At 44.9% G+C, this 19568-nt stretch overlaps 1 long non-coding RNA gene across 2 annotated transcripts in view, besides 4 other annotated features; it reads left to right on the top strand.

Moving 5' to 3' along the window:
• MIR3667HG (MIR3667 host gene) overlaps positions 1-19568 on the top strand; it is a 242996-nt gene that overhangs the window by 140260 nt on the left and 83168 nt on the right. The gene's annotated exons all lie outside the window — the stretch shown is intronic.
• Positions 2619-3144: an enhancer, noted in NCBI's record as "H3K4me1 hESC enhancer chr22:49907765-49908290 (GRCh37/hg19 assembly coordinates)". NCBI's record gives its function as "activates a minimal SCP1, AML or CMV promoter by ChIP-STARR-seq in naive H9 embryonic stem cells {active_cell/tissue: H9 hESC(naive)}" and the evidence as "EXISTENCE:reporter gene assay evidence [ECO:0000049][PMID:30033119]".
• Positions 3671-4197: an enhancer, noted in NCBI's record as "NANOG hESC enhancer chr22:49906712-49907238 (GRCh37/hg19 assembly coordinates)". NCBI's record gives its function as "activates a minimal SCP1, AML or CMV promoter by ChIP-STARR-seq in naive H9 embryonic stem cells {active_cell/tissue: H9 hESC(naive)}" and the evidence as "EXISTENCE:reporter gene assay evidence [ECO:0000049][PMID:30033119]".
• Positions 4302-5056: an enhancer, noted in NCBI's record as "NANOG-H3K27ac hESC enhancer chr22:49905853-49906607 (GRCh37/hg19 assembly coordinates)". NCBI's record gives its function as "activates a minimal SCP1, AML or CMV promoter by ChIP-STARR-seq in naive H9 embryonic stem cells {active_cell/tissue: H9 hESC(naive)}" and the evidence as "EXISTENCE:reporter gene assay evidence [ECO:0000049][PMID:30033119]".
• Positions 12793-12993: a silencer, noted in NCBI's record as "peak4517 fragment used in MPRA reporter construct". NCBI's record gives its function as "represses an SCP1 promoter by STARR-seq MPRAs in K562 erythroleukemia cells {active_cell/tissue: K562}" and the evidence as "EXISTENCE:reporter gene assay evidence [ECO:0000049][PMID:32103011]".

The following is a 19568-nucleotide window of genomic DNA, read 5'->3' as shown; positions in this document are numbered from 1 at the left end:
GAAGCAGAGCTGCCCCAGGGCAGGTGTGCCTCCCTTCCTGTCTTCGGTCTGGCTCAGGTGTGGCTGAGATGGGATGGTGCCTCACACCTGCATGGGGAGCCCACCTGGACTAGAATCTGAACCCTGTGGGTCAGCAGGGTTTGGGCCTCCAGCCAGAGGTGAACCTGCTGCCTGTGGTTTCCTGGGCTTCCCACAGAGCCGGGGGCTCTAAGAGGAGTTGGGAGCAGTGAGAGCTCTCGGTAAGGCCTGGAGCCTGATGCCTAATGAGATGCGGTGGCCAGGGCCAAGGGGCACAAAATTATTCAGCAGAGTTGAGAATTGTTGCGGTACCCACCTCTCCCAGCTATTGGATTCAGAAATGGACTGGGGTGCGAGACACTGTGAGCCACGCGAGGGGCTGAGCGTCTGCAGCCGTCATCACAATGCCACTCTTAGGAGGGGACGGGAGGGCAGTAACCCCAGATGACTGTCCCTGAGTAAAATGGAAAGGGGCTTTTTAGGGAAGGGTGGGGCAGGAAAAAACAGGAAGGGCTGGATCAGGCATAGAATCCGGAGGTCAAGACCCATCCCTCCTCCCTCTCTCCCTCCCATTCCCCTCTTCACTCAAAACAGATCTACTCTTAGTCCAAAGTCGCAGCACAGGAAATGTGGGGACAGTTTCATCTCTTTGGGTCCTTGCTCCCTCATCTGTAAAATGAAGGAACTGGATGGTGGGGTCCAAATATCTTTCACTTCTATGGCTTTTTACTTAAAACTCTATATTATTTTACTTATTGAACAGAACTGAGAAGAATTGAGTTTACTTCAGTATCAGTACATTTATGTAAATCCTTTATTGAAACATCCAAGGGTCTTGAAGAATAAATAAAATGCCTATTAAAATGCCTATGTCTTGGCATATAATAGATGTTCGGTAAGTGGCAAGTTACTTTTATTGTTGTTATTAGATAAGACATGAGTGTTATTAATAATGTATAGTCCTTTATAATTAGCATTAATGCTAGCATTGAACAGGACCATCTATACTGGAACTATGACTTCCCTGAGGGGTGCCATGTGGCCCTGATGAGCCTGTAGCATACAGCACTGTATGGGACACATTCGTGCATAGGTCTCTGCCTTGGAGGCTGATGAGCTTTGTGGGCTACCTGAGTGAGATTTTATGCTTTTTATTCCATGGAATCAAAAGAATTAACATTAGGAAGGGTGGAACTATGGAGGAGGGGTTAGCTTAAGCCATTGGAATATCAATTTCAGGGCAAAGATGATTTAACTTGACTGAACAGAGCACTGCTGGGGAGAGTCAGTGGGTTGGCATCAGTTGGATGGGGAGGTATTTAGGGACTTCAGGATTTAGCATCCCTGCAGTTTTGTGACTGAGAAAGACAGGCTGTGGCGATCGGAGGAGGAGAGGCACCTCTGCCTTGTCACTTTGAGCTCGTGAGGAGGAGAGGCGGGATTCATTTATGTGCTTGGTGAGGGATAGGAAACCAGTGTACGTGTATGCCAGATGTTCAGGAGTCGCTTCCTGCAGGGGGAGACAGAACGAACGTCAGAGTGGGATCTTGCTATTGTCCTTCAGCTCAGGCTCAAGTTTGAATTTGAAGCTGGTATTTGTAGAGGCTTATGTTCATGGCATGTCAGAAAAAGTATTGCACAATTCCTCCCTCCATGGCTGCTGATGAGGAAATTCAGAAAGCATTGCCAGCAGGCCTTCTGTGTTACCTTCACGCCCTCTTGGGGGATCCCGCATGGTCCAACCTGTCTCCGATGCTGTCCACAATCTTGCTCTCATTATTAATAAAATGTCACTCCCTAAAGAACTCAATGCAATGATTTTTTTGCTTTATTTACATTAAAATCAACAGATGTTAGCAAGTTAATGTCATTTATTATATAAGATATGATGACAATACAATTAGTATTTCTAAAACTGTAATTGTAAAATTGACCTTATTAAAATTCCACTTCCTCCGTAATTAAAAAAAACTAATTACTTCTAGTAGTTGGACCAGAAATGACATTTTCAGTTCATTAATATTCAGCAAATTGTTGTTGAAGATGTTCTTGGCACCCTGCACTGTCAGGCTATATCATTTCTGTTTGTTTCTTATTTAAAAGTCATCTGGAAATAATAGTTTGCATTTTAACAAGATGTGTATCCATGAATTGATTTTATAAATAAAGTTTTTAATTGCTAATTAATGTGTGGGGCTATGTCTATGTAACAGTTTCCAGGCATGAATGTGGTGGGCCTGGCGAGCTGATCCTGGCTGCCGGCCTGGATGGAGCCCGCCTGCTGCTGGTACTCCTTTTGAAAGCGATGAGGCAGACAGGGACCTCAGGCCACGCTCTGCTGCTCCTGAAAGTCTCTGCCTAATCACTCAGCCTGGAAGGCGGAGGCAAATCAAAATAACAGAGTGTGAACTAGTTTTGTAATTAACTGGGCTCAGCTGAGAAGGTTTTTAAAGGACGGAAATCAAGCCATTTAGGGCTGCCCTGGTGCAGTGGTTCCGTGTTCCAGAGCGCAGACACTGTTTGGACTGGGGGCAGGGGAGGGGCATTCTCTCTAAGATAAGGCGGAGCTTGCTGGAAGGGCTGCCATGATCCCATTCTCCCATCGTCCCCTGCAAAGTGACTGTCTTGCCATGTCCAATATGGGCTTGTTTGCAGAGAAGCATTTTCCTCACCAGCTCCCCTGAGTGTCATGATGTCCTCCTGGCGTGTGGAGAGGAAGTGTGAGTCCTGAACTGGCAGCTGCTTCCGAACAGGGTGGGCAGGGAGCATGGGGCCCCCAAGAAGGGGGATGCTGCTTTTTCCAGCAGTGGGGGTGCTGGATGCCAAACGGGGTCCCTCGCCGCATGCACACTGCACACATTCTGGAGAACCCAGGAGCTGGTGGACATGAGGAGAAGATGGAGTTGGAAAAACACATGAAAAGGAAGGGGCAGGACGAGAACAGTTCTAGGTCTTCACATGAGGCAGGGACCCGGGAAAGCCGAGGCTCGTCAGGAGGGAGCCTGGGCCACGTTCGCCTTTGTTTCTGCAGTGTCCTATTTCTCTAGAATCGACATGGCTTCGAGTAGGGAAAAATGCATGCATGTTTAAAGGAAAGAACCTCAAAGATAAGGGGACACCCCACCTCCCTAGGTGGGGATGAGAGTTGTCCCGGGACACTTTCTGCCCACTGTGCAAATAAAGACTACAGCATTGCTGTAAGGAAAGAGTTTAATTGAGGCAAGGCCAGCCACACCATGTGGAAGACAGAGTTATTACTCAAATTGATCTCACTGAGGCTCCTGGATTAGGGGTTTTTCAAAGGTAGTTTGGGGGAAGGAGCTGGGCTAGCTGGGAAATGGGTGCTTGCTGCTGATTTGCTGGGATGGAGATGAAATAATAGGGAATGGGAGTTGGGGTAGCTGGGAAATGGGTGCTTGCTGCTGATTGGCTGGGGTAAAATCACAGGGGGTGGAAGCTGAGGTAGCTGGAAAATGGGTGCTTGCTGCTCATTGGCTGGGGTGGAGATGAAATCGTAGTGGGTGGGAACTGTCCTCTAGAGTTGAGTTGCCTGTGGGTGGGGCCACAGGAGTGGTTGGCAGTTCCAGGTGGAAACCATGTAGGTCAGACATGCAAAAAAAACCTGAAAAGATATCTCAAAAGACCCATCTTAGGTTCTACTCTAGTGGTGTTATCTGCGGGAGTAATTGGTGAAGTCGGATATTCTGTGACCTCTAGCATAATGGCTGGTAATCCTTTATGCCTGCGTCTTAGCAGGACTCAGGTGCCTCTCCTTCACCTAGCGGGAGGCTCTCTCATTAGCTTTACAAAGGCAAAAGCTACTGAACTTTGGGGAAAGCCTATTATCATTTAAACTATAACCTAAAGGTCTTCCAAAGTTAGTTAGGTCTAAGCCCAGGACTAATTAAGGCAGCTTGAGAGCTAAAGGCAAGAGTGGGGTGGGTGACATCGATCTCTTTCACTGTCATAATTTTCACACTGATAAAATTTCTGCAAAGGTGATTTCACCTGCTTCGTGCAGCTGGCACAGGACTCTGGGTCATGAATACAAGTGTCTAATACCCACAAGCCTGTCCTCCACAGATCCTTACTTGCAGCTCAGACCAGTGGCGCTCTTCGAGGAGTAGAGTCTAAGAAGTACGGGGGTCATCTGGACACCCTCACAGAGGTCTGAATATGCCACGGATGTCCTCTCTATCCCATAATAATGAAACATGTGCACTCAGAGCCGTCCTTCTAAGCCACCTTCTGAAACAGCGGGTGCCATTTATCTTCATGCACTCAGAGTCTTCTCTGCCGAAGACCTTTTTCTCTCTACAAGATCCGCATACCAACTCAACACTGCGGGCTAATAAAAATGCCCAATAAATTCAGAATACACCTTCAAACAAGAACACCATATGCAAATGGCAAAGTAATTCCATTGTTAAATGTTATTCCTGAAACACTTGTGTGAGCCAGAGTTATTTAAATTGTAGGTCCAGCATAATTGCTGTTGTGTTTTCTGGCAGCAACAAAGGCTGTAGTCAAACGGCTATAAAATATAATAGGCAGTGCTCCCGGCTTTTGTTTTCCAATGTAAACTACTTGCATTACTATTTACATATCAATGAAACCTCCTTTCGCTAAATCATGCAAATAGAATAGCAGGGTTCTGCACAGTCCAGGAATGGAACACTGGAGATCACTTCGCAAGCTATTTCTTTTTTATTTATCCCAGATCCCCAAACATTTGGGCTGGCCAGGCCTGTAATGCAATTACTCTGAGTCTCTGGCTCAAAAGTGCTGGTATTTATTGTGCCCATTTGATCTGGCATAGATTTAGAGATGAGAAGGCAAGAGACAACTTCAACCCTTTGCTGAATCGCTGGTGCGCTGAGCAAAAGATGGGATTCATTGCAAAGCCGCCAGGGAATGCTAAAGTGGCCTGGATTTTTTTTTACTTTAGGAATTGCATGAAGTCTTTACACTCTTTTTACAGTCAGTAAAATCACAATTTAGTTGCAGCACAAAATATACAGTTATAAAGGGGATGGCCACTGTATTGGTTTGTTTAATGCTGCTGTAAAAAATACCATAGGCTGGGGGCTTATATGCAACGGAAGTTTATTTCCCACAATTACGGAAGCTGGAGGTCCAAGGCAAGGCTGCAGCAGATATGGTGTCTGGTGAGGACCTGTTTCCTAGTTGACAGATCAGTGTCTCATGAGGACCCACTTCCTGGCTGACAGATCAGTGTCTGGTGAGGACCCATTTCCTGGTTCACTGATCAGTGTCTGGTGAGGACCCACTTCCTGGTTCACTGATCAGTGTCTGGTGAGGACCCACTTCCTGGTTCACTGATCAGTGTCTGGTGAGGACCCACTTCCTGGTTCACAGATCAGTGTCTCATGAGGACCCACTTCCTCTTCATAGATCAGTGTCTGGTGAGGACCCACTTCCTGGTTCACTGATCAGTGTCTGGTGAGGACCCACTTCCTGGTTCACAGATCAGTGTCTCATGAGGACCCACTTCCTCTTCATAGATCAGTGTCTGGTGAGGACCCACTTCCTGGTTCACTGATCAGTGTCTGGTGAGGACCCACTTCCTGGTTCACAGATCAGTGTCTGGTGAGGATCTGCTTCCTGCTTCATAGATCAGTATCTGGTGAAGATCTGCTTCCCGGTTCATAGATCAGTGTCTGGTGAGGACCCGCTTCCTGGTTCATAGATGGTGCCTTCTCTCTGTGTCCTCATATAGTGGAAGGGGCAAGGGAGCCCTCCAGGGTCCCTTTTCTAGGGCACTAATACCGTTCATGGGGGCCCCACCCTCATGATCTCATCACTTCCCAAAGGCCCCACCTCCTAACACTACCGCCTGGGGGGTGAGGATTTCAACAAATGAATTTTGGGGGAACACTAATGAATTTTGGGTCTCCATTTTTTTCATCCATTTTCTCTATGTTCTTAAACATGGGTAATGACAATTATTTTAAAATCTTGTCTGTTAACTCCAGTATAAGGATCTCATGTGGGTCTACTTCTATCATATATGTTTTTTCTCCTGATCACCCATCATAGTTTCTTGCCTCTTTTCTTGTCTAGTAACTTTTTATTGTATGATTTTTGTAATCTTCCAATATCAGCAGAATACTCATTATTTTCTAGTACACGTGGAAAATTCCCTAACATAGACTGTGCCCTGAGTCAGAAAACAAACCTTAATAAGTTGGAAAGAAGTTAAACAAAGTATGTTCTTGGATATCATTAGCATTTGATTTGGGAAATCTGCATTAAAACATCTTGAGGCAGCAGTACATAGTTATTAGAATGGCTAAAATAAAGAATACTGACAGTACTAAGTGCTGACAAGGATGTAGAGAAAATAGAACTTTCAGACATTGCTGGTAGGATGTGAGATGGTGAGGACCACTCTAGAAAATAGTTTCACAGCCCCTTCTAAAGCTGAACATTCACTTGCCACATGACCTATTGATTCCAGTCCTAGGTATTTACCCAAGTGGACTGAGAATTTTTTGTCCACATATAGATCTCTAGATAAATGTTTTTATATCGATTCATCATTGTTCAAAACCTAAAACAGTTCACCAAACAGGATATATGGGAGCAAACTAACTAAATACCCTTGAACAGGTGCATGGTTAAACAAACTTCGGCTGTGGAATGGAATACTACTTAGCATTGAAAAGGAATGAATGACTGATGTACATACCACCTGGGCGAATCTCAGAGACATTCTGCCGAGTGAAAGAAGCCAGTATTAAATAGTTACGTATTATGTGTGATTCCATTTGTGTGATGTTCCAAATAAGACAAACCTACAGCAATGGAGAGCTGATCACTAGTTGTCAGGGTTAAGGTTTAAAGAGCTATGACTGTGAAGAGACACAACATGAGAATTTTGGGGGTGATGGACTTGTCCTGTGTTCTGATTGTGGTGGTGGTCAAATGAATCCATACATACTAAAACTCATTGAAGTATACCCCAAAACAGCCCATTTTACTATATGATAATAAAAAGTTAAAATTAATAAAATATCTATGAGCCACATCCCTGCGCTTGTATTGTTTTCAGTCTGGTAGGTAAGACATACTAAGAATGATCTGAATAATAATTGCACCATTAACTGAATGTCTGCTCCTAAGATCTGTGAGTGATATACACGTGTTTAATTTCTAGTAAAGCTCCTTGAGTTAAGTATGATTATTTTAATTTTACCCACATGGAATTTGAAACTAAGTGAAGGCAAATAATTTTTCCGAGACAAGGCTTCAACTAGATCATTCCTGTTAGTTTTTGTACACGAGTGTCTTCAACTTAATGGAAACAAACCAAAGAGAAATGGAAACCAAACAATAAACAGAAATCTTCTTATTTCCCTTCAGCTAATTGTTTCTCTCTCTCTCTCACACACACACCCACTAGTGCAAATCATAGTCCCAAAGTCACAATCCCAAAAGGTTAAAATCCCAAATGGCTGCAATCCTGAAAGCCACATTCTGGGGAAGGGATTGGTGTGTTTTCGGTTGTATGTAGGGTCGTTGCATTGTGTTAATCAGGGAGAACTACTACCTTGCTACTGTCATTATCTGAAAATCAATATGGTTTAAAGAGACACATATGAGTGCTGAGTGGACAAGGAGTGGACTTACAGCCTTAATTTTAGATGTCAACCTCTCTGGACTAAGGAATACCTAGAAATGTGGTGGGTGTGTCTGTGAGGGTTTTTCCAGGGGAGATGGGTGTGTGCATCTGGGTGGACTGCGCACGGAAGATTTGCCCTCCACGTCGGTGAGCACCATCCCATTGGCCAGGGCCTGCAGAGAACACGTGTGGAAGGTGATGTGGAAGGTGAACTGGTCTCTCTCCGAGAGCTGGGACAGATTTTTCTTCTCCTGCCCTGGACATCAGAACTCCAGGCGTGCTGGCTTGGACTCCAGGACTTATAGCTTAGGCCCCAGGTCCTGAGGCTTTTGGCCTCAAACTGAGAGTTACCAGCAGCTCCCCTGGTTCTGAGGCCTTTTGACTTGGGCTGGGCCACACTGCCGGCTTCTCAGGGTATCCAGCTTGCAGACGGCCTGTTGTGGGACTTACCAACCACCATAATTGTGTGAGCCAATTCCCCTAATAAATTCTCTCTCATATATAGGTATTCGTATCTTATTGGTCTGTCTTTCTAGAGCACCCTGAATCATACAGATTTGATATCGGAGAAGCTGAATATTCGTTTTTCTTACTGTATTCCTTACAACCTAGTAGAAGGGACCTGCAAAATTGTTCCCTCGCAAAAAGGCTGCGGTCACTTAAGTGGACGATGCTACTCAACAGTGGAAGATAAACGTTTAGAAGCTAATTATTATCGGTGCCTCAAAAGCAGAAAATTGCCTAATTGCAACGACTGAGGAATAACTGGGCTTTTGAATGAACAGCAAACACTTACACAATTTGCAGACCACAGCCACTGCGCAGACACACATGCGGCAAGTGTCTTGAAGATCACAGGAGCCAAAAGGCTGGCAACAAATGTGAGGCATCTCTTCTGCCAAACCGTTCAGTGGTGTAGGACTCCTGCCTCTTCACACATGGCACCACTGTTTATTTCATCTCCATGTCATTTCCAATACTGGAGGTATAACTTGTGCAGAGACCTCCAGAGAGTTCTATTTTTTTTTAAAGCCCAGTGTGGTGATGCATGCCTGTAATCCCAGCTACTAGGGAGGTCGAGGCAGGAGAATCGCTTGAACCCCGGAGGCAGAGACTGCAATGAGCTGAGATTGCGCCACTGCACTCCAGCCTGGGAGACAGTGTGAGACTCCATTTCAAAAAAGAAAAAAAAATAAAAAGAAATGTGACCCTATTCCGTGGAATTAATTGTTCTTTGTCATCCCCGGTCCCCCTCTTCTGTTCAATGGGCCCAGTGGGTCCTACTGTTCTGTGCAGCTGTGACGTCTCCACCATCTTCCATCCCCCCATATCTTCTTCAGCTTCTACCTATCCAACCAATGTCAGATTTTTCATTATGAGCGGACAGGGTTCACACCACGATTATACCTTCTTACCGCATGCTGTGTGCATTTCACTGTTATTTATGATGGGTTACCATATGGGCGCTCCCCAGGCTAGAAGCTCATGAGGGCTGGCCCGTTTCTATCGTGCACACGGGTGGGAACAGGGCTGGCATGGAGCACATGCTCAGTAAGCTTCTGTGGAATAATTAGATGAGTATAGAGAAGAACAAAACCCATCAAACCTGCGTGGGATGGAGCCTGCGTTTCAAGCCAGTTCTCATCGGCCAGAAAGTCAGGTCATTTCCATTTTGAATCCAACAAAAGCGAACATCATGAGACTCCATGTGTAAGGAATGGAGAGTTAAACGGCACAACACACCTCCCTGTGCCGCCCATCTGGCCCTACGTGGCCGGTTGCCAAAAGGGTCACCGTGGATCCGTCTGCGGTGCTGGCTGTGACCAGCAAAGCCCCCTCCACCCGCACCCATTTGTTGACTCACTCACCCCCTCTGGGCTCTTCTTGTTGGTGATTTTGAGAAATAACATGAAATGCCGTAAAGACAGAAGCCACAGGAACGAGGAGAGAAATACTGTGGGTCATCGGCATGGCAGTGAGTCTGATATGCCCTGGTTCAATGTCTTGTCCATCGTCATCATCATGACCATCATCACCACCACCTGATGAGGCAGGGCTGCTGCCCCCATCCCCCTATCCAGCAGGGCTAGCCACAGCTTAGGCCTGTGACAGCAAAGGGGTCACCATGCCCACTTCTTATTATTTGAAGTTTCACTATTTGGCAGGTACTTGGCATGCTTTTTACATGCGTTTCTTCATTTAATCTCCATGGATGGGGTCATTATTATTCCCATTTTACAGGGAAGAAACTGACAGGTGCAGGGGTTCATTATAATGCTCAAGATCACGTGGTTAAAGGAGGCATCTGAGATTAGAACCTGTGTTGGGTGGACTCGAGATTATGTGATCAATATCACTACCCCAGATCAACCCATTTTCTCCTAGAAATCACCTAGATTTGAGGTTGGGATGGCTCAGAGTTGTTGTTGTTGTTGTTGTTGTTCTTCTTCTTCTTCTCCTTCTTCTTCTTCCTCTTCTTCTTCCCTTTCTCCTTCCCCTCCCTTCCTCCTCCTCCTCCTCCTCCCCCTTCTTCTTCTTCTCCTTCTTCTCCTCCTCCTTCTCCTCCCCTTCTCCTTCCTCTTCTTCTCCTTCTTCCTTTTTATGAGACAGAGTTTTGCTCTTGTTGTCCAGGCTGGAGTGCAATGGTGCAATCTCAGCTCACTGCAAACCCCGCCTTCTGGGTTCAAGTGATTCTCCTGCCTTAGCCTCATGAGTAGCTGGGATTACAGGTGCCTCCCACCACACCTGGCTATTTTTAATTTTTTATTTTATTTTTATTTTTAGTAGATACAGGGTTTCACCATGTTGGCCAGGCTGGTCTTGAACTCCTGACCTCAAGTGATCCACCTGCCTCGGCCTCCCAAAGTGCTGGGATTACAGGTGTGAGCCACCATTCCTGGCCCAGAGTACTTTTTAAAGAGTTTAGGCCACACTCTCAAAGTCCTGCCTCCCCTCCCTTCCTTCCTTCAAAATGTTTTTTGTACTAGCTCCATGATCTTTTTGGTTGACTCCAGCACATTTTCTAGGGCTGAGCCTAGATGTGCCCTCCCTAGAGAACCTTCTGATCACCCTTGACTATGTTAGGTCGCTTATTTCAAGTTCTTGTTGCAAGCTACAGCTTCCCCTGGCGGCATTCATCACAGAGAGAAAGCGCTGTTATTATTAGATCATTGTTTTCCAGACTAGTGGGAGCTCCAGAGAACAGAGCTTCTTGTGATGGGCCCCTTTACCCAGCTCAGCAGGTTTACCATGGAAAAGGGTGGATACCAGGGCCCGAGCTAGAAACACAGAAACATGAATGGTATGGCCCTCCCTCCAGCCCCCAGTGGAAGAAGCAGCATGGTGGCCCCCCTTTGGGTTAGAGGTGCTGAGTACTGCTGCCATGAAGCACAGAGGAGTGAGGGGCAGGTGCTCAGTGCCGAGGGATCAGGGACGGTTTCACAGGGAGCTGGGGTCAGTCCCCCACTGAAGGTGAGGAGATCTCACCGTGGGGAAATGGAAGAAGGACTTCTAGAGCTTCTCTGCGGATAGTCTGTATCTGGAGAGCTCAGAATGTCTGACTCCGGACATTGTCCCCAGAGGTGCCTCATGCGGAGGGGGATCCATGCATTTTTAATACATGAATCGATTGGATTTGGTATTTCTGGCTGATCACGTTTCCAGGTCTGCTCATGCAGTGGTGTCTAAAGCACAGGCTGTGAAGTCAGAATACCTGGGATTGAGTTTTGATTCCTTGCTCATACTGTGTAACTTCAACCAGATGACGTAACCTCATGTGCTTCACTTTTCCCATGGATGTGTTAGGAAGAGTAAATAGTATAATTGTCATATTAAATGTGATAATGAGTATTAAGTAGAGTTCCCAGTACATGGATTTAACTATCACCATCACCATTGTTATCATCATCATCATCACGATCATCATCACCACCATCACCATGACCATCATCACCATCACCACCATCATCACCACCATCATCACCACTGTTGTCACCATCACCCTCATCATCATCACCACCACCATCATCATTTTTGTCATAACTGTTATTATCATCATGATCATCACATTATCATAACAACTGTGATCATCTCCATCACCACCATCACCACTATCATCATCATCATCACCACTGTCATCATTTTATCATCATCATTATCATCAGCATCATCCCATTATCATAACCACCACCCTAAATCATTACCGTCACCATCACCACCATCACCATCATTACCATTATCGTTATAATCATGACCATCATCATCATCACCATTGTCATCACCATCACCCCCATCATTATTATCACTGTAATCATCACCACAATCATCATTATCATCACCATTACCATCATTTCTACCATCACCACCATGATCACCACCACCATTATTGTTATAGTTATCATTATCATCATCATTATCATCATATCATCTTTATTATTAACACCTATGTCATCACCACTGCCATAAATGCCACCATTATTGTTACCATTCTCATCACTATCATTACCATCATCATGTTAGAATCATTTTCCTTTCTTGGTATCAAAGTTTTGAGCCATGATATACTTATGGGAAATCTGATATTGACTTGTGTCCACAGGATTCTACAGGTAGCAAACACACATTTACTGTTTTCTAAATTGAATTGCGTTTTGCCAAATGTGGACCATTTGGAAACTAGAAATTACAGAGCTGTTGAATCAGCAAGAACAATGAATTTAACATTTGGACCTTGGCCATTGGCGATTGAACTTTTAGTCAGGTGTTGGACTATAAGGTTTCTGAAAAACTAGTAGGGTCTTAACACATGAGATATTGATGGCCTGGAATCAACCAGGGTGAACGAGGATAGTGTTGGGGCTGACCTGAAGTGGGAAAGGGTGGGATGAGGAATGGGCCACTCAGGGTTCAGTTAAGCTCAGCTTAATGGAATAGTATTCAGGGAAGAGTGAGTAGGCCCATGCTGTGGAAGGCTGGGCATCCGTAAGGGCTGGTGGGTAGCAGAGCGCCTGAGAGCTATGGATTCAGACAAGCCCAGGTAGGGGTCCAAGCTCTGCTGTGTTACCTTAGAATGTTCATCATACTTCTCCAAGACTCGGTTTCCCCATCTGGAAAGTCACCATGCTGGGAGACACTGGTTTCTAGGTCTGTTGTGAACACAAGAGGAGATGAGGCAGCTGGAGCAGGCATCTGTGACACAGTAAGGGTAAGATCAGTGGGGATGATCTTGGTTTGTTGCAGTAATCAGAAACCTCAGATCTCTGTGGGTTGACATGTCAAAAGCTTATTTCTGACTCATGCAAATCCAGGCCAGTCCCTCTGTCTCTCAGGTAATCATCCCCCATGACTTGACTCAGAATTCCTCAGGCTGCTCTGACCCTAAGCACCCTCCATTTCAATCTAGGATTGCGGTGGCCAGGCAGCAAAGCACTGGGGGAATCACACCAGCGAGTGAGGGCTCTGGCCCCAAATGGCTTGTCCTGCAACTGCTCAGGACCATCACAGAGCTAGTCACATGGTCCCACCAGCTGCAAGGCAGTGGCAGGCACGAGGGCCCCTTGAGCCCAAAGGGATGAGAGAATTGGGCATAGGGCGGCATGGAGAGCTCTAGCCCATGCCTCAGCTCAAGTTAGGCAGGGTTGCTTCAGGTTTTGTTGTGACTGTTGTAAAACCCATAAAAATGCTTGAAACTATAATAACGTGGGTTTTGTTAAGCCATGTCTGAATGTTCCTGCATCAAGTTGGTCTCATGAAAGTTGCTTGCTCCAGATGGCTGTGCCAGAGTGTCTCGCTTCGGAGGCATAAAGAAAGGAGTGAGTGTGGGAGGTGGGCTGTAGAGTTGGAGGGTCACAGAGAGAGAGGTCAAGTTTGGAGGAGTGGCCAGAGGGCTCTGAGGCCAAAGAGACCTCTGCTAGAGAACCAGAGAGTGGGGCCTTTATCAGTTGAGAGACTCCGAGTAAGTTACTCCAGGCCTCTGAGTGTTGTCTGCATTTAACATTTTGCTGGGGTTGCAACCTGATTTCAAGACTTTAAAAATCTTGATGAGAAGTGAAAGCTGTTATTTATAATGTGCAAATGGCTTTCAACCTCAAGAGACAGACCCAGCCAAACCACATTGAGGCTGATTATAACTTGGTTTCAAGAAAATTAGCAGGACTGGCCTTACATGATAATTTAACCAAGGAGTTACTTGACATGTTCTACTTGACAACATAAAAAAAATTAAATTGTTTAAATTGGTGTAGCTCAGCCAGAGCTGAGCACTTCTTGAATTTTTTTTTCTTGGAAGTTGTATAGGCGAAAAATACATCTTGGCCAAATCGAAACTTAGGTGAACTGGGGTGTGTGGTACAGTTGGTCCTCCAGGAGTTAGGCACAATTTTATCCTAGTAAGCACTTGTAAGATCTGTGCACATAAGGCCATGAGGCCGTCTTCTTGAATTTTGAAATTGGCCCAGGTGAGTTCACACATGGAGGTGGAAAGAGTGATGGGGGGTGCAGGTCTCCAAGATGTCACTGTGAGAGGGGAGGGAATGAGAGCCCAGAGATGTGGCCTTAGGTGGCAGATTTCAGCATTGAGGACAGAACCCAGTGGTGCCATGGGAGGCAGTGACCTTCAAGAGTGTGAGATTTTCCTGGAGCTAAAGGAGAAAGAATTTGGAAGGCGTGGTGTAAATTAAAAGGATATGCTCCACTATGGGCGTCTTCCTGTGCCTCAATTCCCCCTCTTACCTCCACAGTCACTCCTTTGCCTACCCCTGGGGGCCGCATCAAGTATTCAACAAAAATTGGTCTCTGTTAGACATCAAGAGTCTATCATCATCCTAGCCTCCCAGATGGGAAGCTGGCAGAGTTTCCGAGAAGGCAGCTCTATTTGAGGCATCCCAACGATTGTGAGAGTGAGGCCAGAAGATGTCACACAGCATGGGATGTACCTGGTGTGAGGAGGGAGCTGTGTCTTCACTCTGTAACCCCCGAACCCTGCTCTTGGATATCTGTGCTGATGTGGACACGCTGTTCCACGCTCACCTGCCCCTCTCCTCTGATTGTCAGAACTCCACTGACTCGAGAGAAACAGTTGGCATAAGGGCACAAGGAAATCTATTGTAAATTAATAGCGACAAATTCAAGCAGATGGAGAAAGTGAGAAGCTAATCAAAGTGCAGATCAAAGAAGTGGAAAATGAAGATTAAGGATCTGAAGCTCTTGCAGGCGTCTCGGCGGTTTCTGCTGTTTGCGGCTTTTCAGTTGCCCTTTGCACCATTTCCGTGATGTCTTTTCAGTGAGTCACCATCCCTTCCAATACCACCACTCTTCGAATCTCCTCCCAGCTGGGGGAGGTGAAGCTGATTAATTCCCAACTTCCAACCATCACATCAGGGAAGATGAGTCCCAAGTAAAATTGGGCATTTTTGGAATTCAGCAGTGACATCAAAGAACAGAGGGTGTCTGAATATGACTGAGGGGAAGGCAGATGTTTGAGTGTGTTTTCAAAATTGGTGTTTGGCATTTGGGTAAAAGGAATCTTTCCATCTGTAACTTAAAGTCCTGACAACAGAGACAAGTCATCCTGACTCTCCGTCCTTCCAGCAGGTTCACATTGGTGACTCTATCTGGGTTTTCACAAGGTGTCATCCAGATTTACATTTTCCAATTTCAGTGTACATGAAAAAATAATCAATGTGATATTCTCTGCCGTATGATATCCCTGGTAGGCCGCATAAGAATCTAAATTCAATCCTGCCTTTCCCCATATGCTCCTCCACAGGCAGACACAGGCATGCTCATTTTTTGCATTGGAACGTGAGTCTATGAGCATAGGATCCTGCTTTCAGAGCAAGAGCAAATGGTTCTTGAGCAGTGGGTCTCAAACAGGGGCTACTCTGACCCCAGGGGATATACGGAAATGTCTGGAAATATTACAGGCTGTCACAACTAGGGGTGGCAGTTGCTACTGGCATCTAGTGGGTGGAGGCCAGGGATGTTAGTAAATGTCCTACAGCGCACAGGGCAACTTCCCACAACAAAGAATTATCCAGACCTCAGATGTCAATAGTGCCAAGATAGAGAAATCTTGTCCTATGATAATTGTCCACAGACAGTAAAAGATAATTCATTATCTGATGATAGTGATGATAGATGATGGTGATGATCATGACAGTGATGATAGTCATGGTGATGGTGATGATGATGATGGTGATAGTGATAATTATAGTGATAGTGATGATGATAACAATGGTGATGGTGGTGATGATGATGGGGATAATGATAATGGTGATCGTGATGGTAGTGATGATAACAGTGATGATGATAATGAAGGTGATGATGATAATGGTGATGATAGTGATAATGATGGTGATGATGGTGATGGTGATAATGGTGATGATGATGGTGATATGATTATGGTGATGGTCATGGTGATGGTGGTTCATTGTGGTTATGGTGATAGTGATGGTGATAATCATGGTGATGGTGATAGTGATGGTGATGATAGTGATGGTGGTGATGATGATAGTGATGATGGTGAGAGTGATGATACTAGTGATGATAGTGATGATGATGATGGTGATAACACTGGCGATGGTGGTGATGATGGTGATGGGGATAATAATGGTGATGGTAGTGATAATGAGAGTGATGATGGTGATGATGATGGTGGTAATGGTGAAGATGATGGTGGTGATGGTCATGATGGTGGTGATGATCATGGTTTTGGTGATAGTGATGGTGATAATAGTGATGATGGGTGATGATGGTGATGATGATAGTGATCATGGTGATAGTGATAGTGATAGTGATGGTAGTGATGATAGTGATGATGATGGTGATAACAATGGTGATGGTGTTGATGATAATGAGGGAATAATGATAATGGTGATGGTAGTGATAATGAGAGTGATGATGGTGATGATGATGGTGATGGTGATTAAGGTGATGGTGATGATGATGGTGGTGATTATTATGGTGATGGTGATTTAGTCTGATTTAGATCAGACTAAATTATACTACTGGCTTTCCTGGGTCTCCAACTTGCAGACCACATACTGTGAGACTTCTCAGCCTCCATGAGAAGGAGCCAATTCCTGATAATTATCTATTTATCTATTATCTATCTATCTATCATCTATCATCTATTTAATCTATCAATCTAATTATCTATCTATCTATCTATCATCTATCCTATCTGTCTAATCTATCCTATCTAATCTATCCATCTATCTAATCTATCCTATCTATTATCTATCCAATCTATCTATCAAATCTATCATCTATCTAATCTATCTACTATCTATCTAATATATGTATCATCTATCTAATCTATTATCTATCTAATCTATTGTCTTTATCAAATCTACCATCTATGTATGTATGTATTATCTATCTTTATCTACCTATCAAATCTATCACCTATGTGTCTAATCTATCTACTATCTATCTGTTATCTATCTATCTAATCTATCATCTGTCTAGTCTATGCCATCTTATCTATGTATCTATCTATCATCTATCATCTGTCTTATCTACCTATCTAAGCTATCATGTATCTCTTCTATCATGTATCTATCTAATCTATCATCTATATGTCTAATTTATGCTATCTAATCTATCTATCATCTATCTATCTTATCTATTATCTCTGTCTCTCTGTCTCTCTCTCTCTCTCTCCCTATCTAATCCATCTATCCCCTACTGGTTCTGTTTCTCTGGAGAACCCTGGCTAATTACAGTGTCACTCTGGGTATGTGTGGAATTGTCTGCTCATCATTTCAGTCTCAGCTCTGTTGCCTTTTACTGTTTCCTTCTGCAAATGCACTTCATAGTCTCTTCAACATGGCTAAGAGCAGACATATCTGCCATGTCTGGTAGTGAAAACTTTATGGTCCTTTCGTTCAGTGCTAAGCCTAACTTTTGGTTATATACATTTACATAAACTCATGAATGACAGTTGGGTGACAGTAATGCTGTCTCCCATGAGACCACATCAAGAGAGTGCTATGGGCAGGTTGGGGCTGCTGGGGGAGGAGACACCTCCTGGAAACCATAGCAGGGGTCCCAGTGCCTTGACTCAGTTTGACTAGGAAAGAGACTTAAGCAATTTTCTCAGTATCTCCAATTCTTTCATTTCCTGGAATTCATCTAAATATGAGACATGTTCCTTTCTTACTCTAGGAGTCCATAAGACATACTTAAAAACAGTCAGTACCAGTGTTTCTGTACAGAGAATCCATCTCTATCTGTATCGCTCTATCTATCTATCTATCTATCTATCTATCTATCTATCTATCTATCTATTTTTTAGAGACAGAGTTTCACTCTGTTGCCCAGGCTGGAGTGCAGTGGTGCAATCTCAGCTCACAGCAACCTCTACCTCCCGGGTTCAAGCAATTCTTGTGCTTCAACCTACCTAGTAGCTGGGATTACAGGTGTGCGTCACCACACCCGGCTAATTTTTGTATTTTTTTCTAGAGATGAGGTTTCACTATGTTAGCCAGGCTGGTCTTGAGCTCCTGGCCTCAAGTAATCCACCTGCCTTGGTCTCCCAGAGTGCTGGGATTACAGGTGTGCGCCACCACCCCCAGCCAGAGAATCCTTAGATATTTATAGGAGAAGATGCAGGCTGTTTTGGGAGAATTAATCGTGTGTAATCCAAGGCTTTGGACGGCAATTGGTGAGAGAGTTTTCAACACAGTTATTTTTAAGAACCAAGGCAAACAAAAGGGTATTCCTAGATGTGAGGCACTAACAAATCTGGCTATGGATACTCATTCTTGCTCGTTTGTTTACACCTCCGTTCCCTCCGTTCCAGTCTGATTGGCCACCAAGGACTTCCCTGGCTGCCCTGTTTAAAATATGACCCTCCTCGTCCCTGCCGGGAGCCATTCTCTCGCTTCGTGTTCTTCCCAGCACAAGTCAAGTGGTGCTCCCCACTAGCATGTAAGTTCCATGAGGAGCAGAAACTATTTTACTCACAACCCTCTCCCCAGTGGCTGGAAGGGTACTGGCACAGAGTGGGGACTCTAGGAATATTATATTCTGGCAATGAATAAAAAGAGTATGTGATGAGCGAGCTGTCGTATTTCATATCACAGGTGCGCTCAAAGTTCAGAGAAAGGAGAGAGTCATGTTTTCTGGGAAGCCAGCTGACAGGCATCTCCTAAAGCAAATGTGTGCTGAATTGGAAGGTTGGGCCAGCTTCAGGTGAGGAGGAGTGGGGAAAAAGATCAAGGGGTTCTGAGAGGCAGCAAGGACTTCGGCCACAGTGTGAATGAAGGTCAGAAGAACCTTAAAAGGCACCGGCCAGTTCCTGCCAAACGACTTGTGATGGAAAATCCACTGGAATGTTTGCGCCTCTTCAGTGTTAATAAATGTAGGTTGTGCACTTCCATAGGACAAATATGCGCCCTGTTGGGTTCGAGGAGAGGCACTCAGCGTTGCACAGGTAATCGTAAGCCTGTTAATTATGTTATTCAGTCTTCTAAATGCTTACATATCATCTTCTCACTCATTCTTTTTTTTTTTTTTTTTTTTTGAGACAGAGTCTAGCTCTGTTGCCCAGGCTGGAGTGCAATGAATGGCATGATCTGGGCTCACTGCAAGCTCCAACTCCCGGGTTCAAGCAATTCTCCTGCCTCAGCCTCCCAAGTAGCTGGGATTACAGGCATGTGCCACCACGCCCTACTAATTTTTGTGTTTTTAGTAGAGAAGGGGTTTCATCATGTGGGCCAGGCTGGTCTCAAACTCCTGACCTCAGGTGATCAGCCCGCCTTGGCCTCCCAAAGTGCTGGGATTACAGGCGTGTAATCCCAGGCCCGGCCTCTTCTTACTCATTCTATTAGAGTCATGCAGCACATAACAACCTTTTGATGCAAGAGGGACTACATACGTGACGGTGGTCCCATAAGATTAT

This window comes from Homo sapiens, chromosome 22 (assembly GCF_000001405.40).
Source record: "Homo sapiens chromosome 22, GRCh38.p14 Primary Assembly".
Lineage (NCBI taxonomy): Eukaryota > Metazoa > Chordata > Mammalia > Primates > Hominidae > Homo > Homo sapiens.
This window is presented reverse-complemented; position numbering and strand designations above follow the sequence as displayed.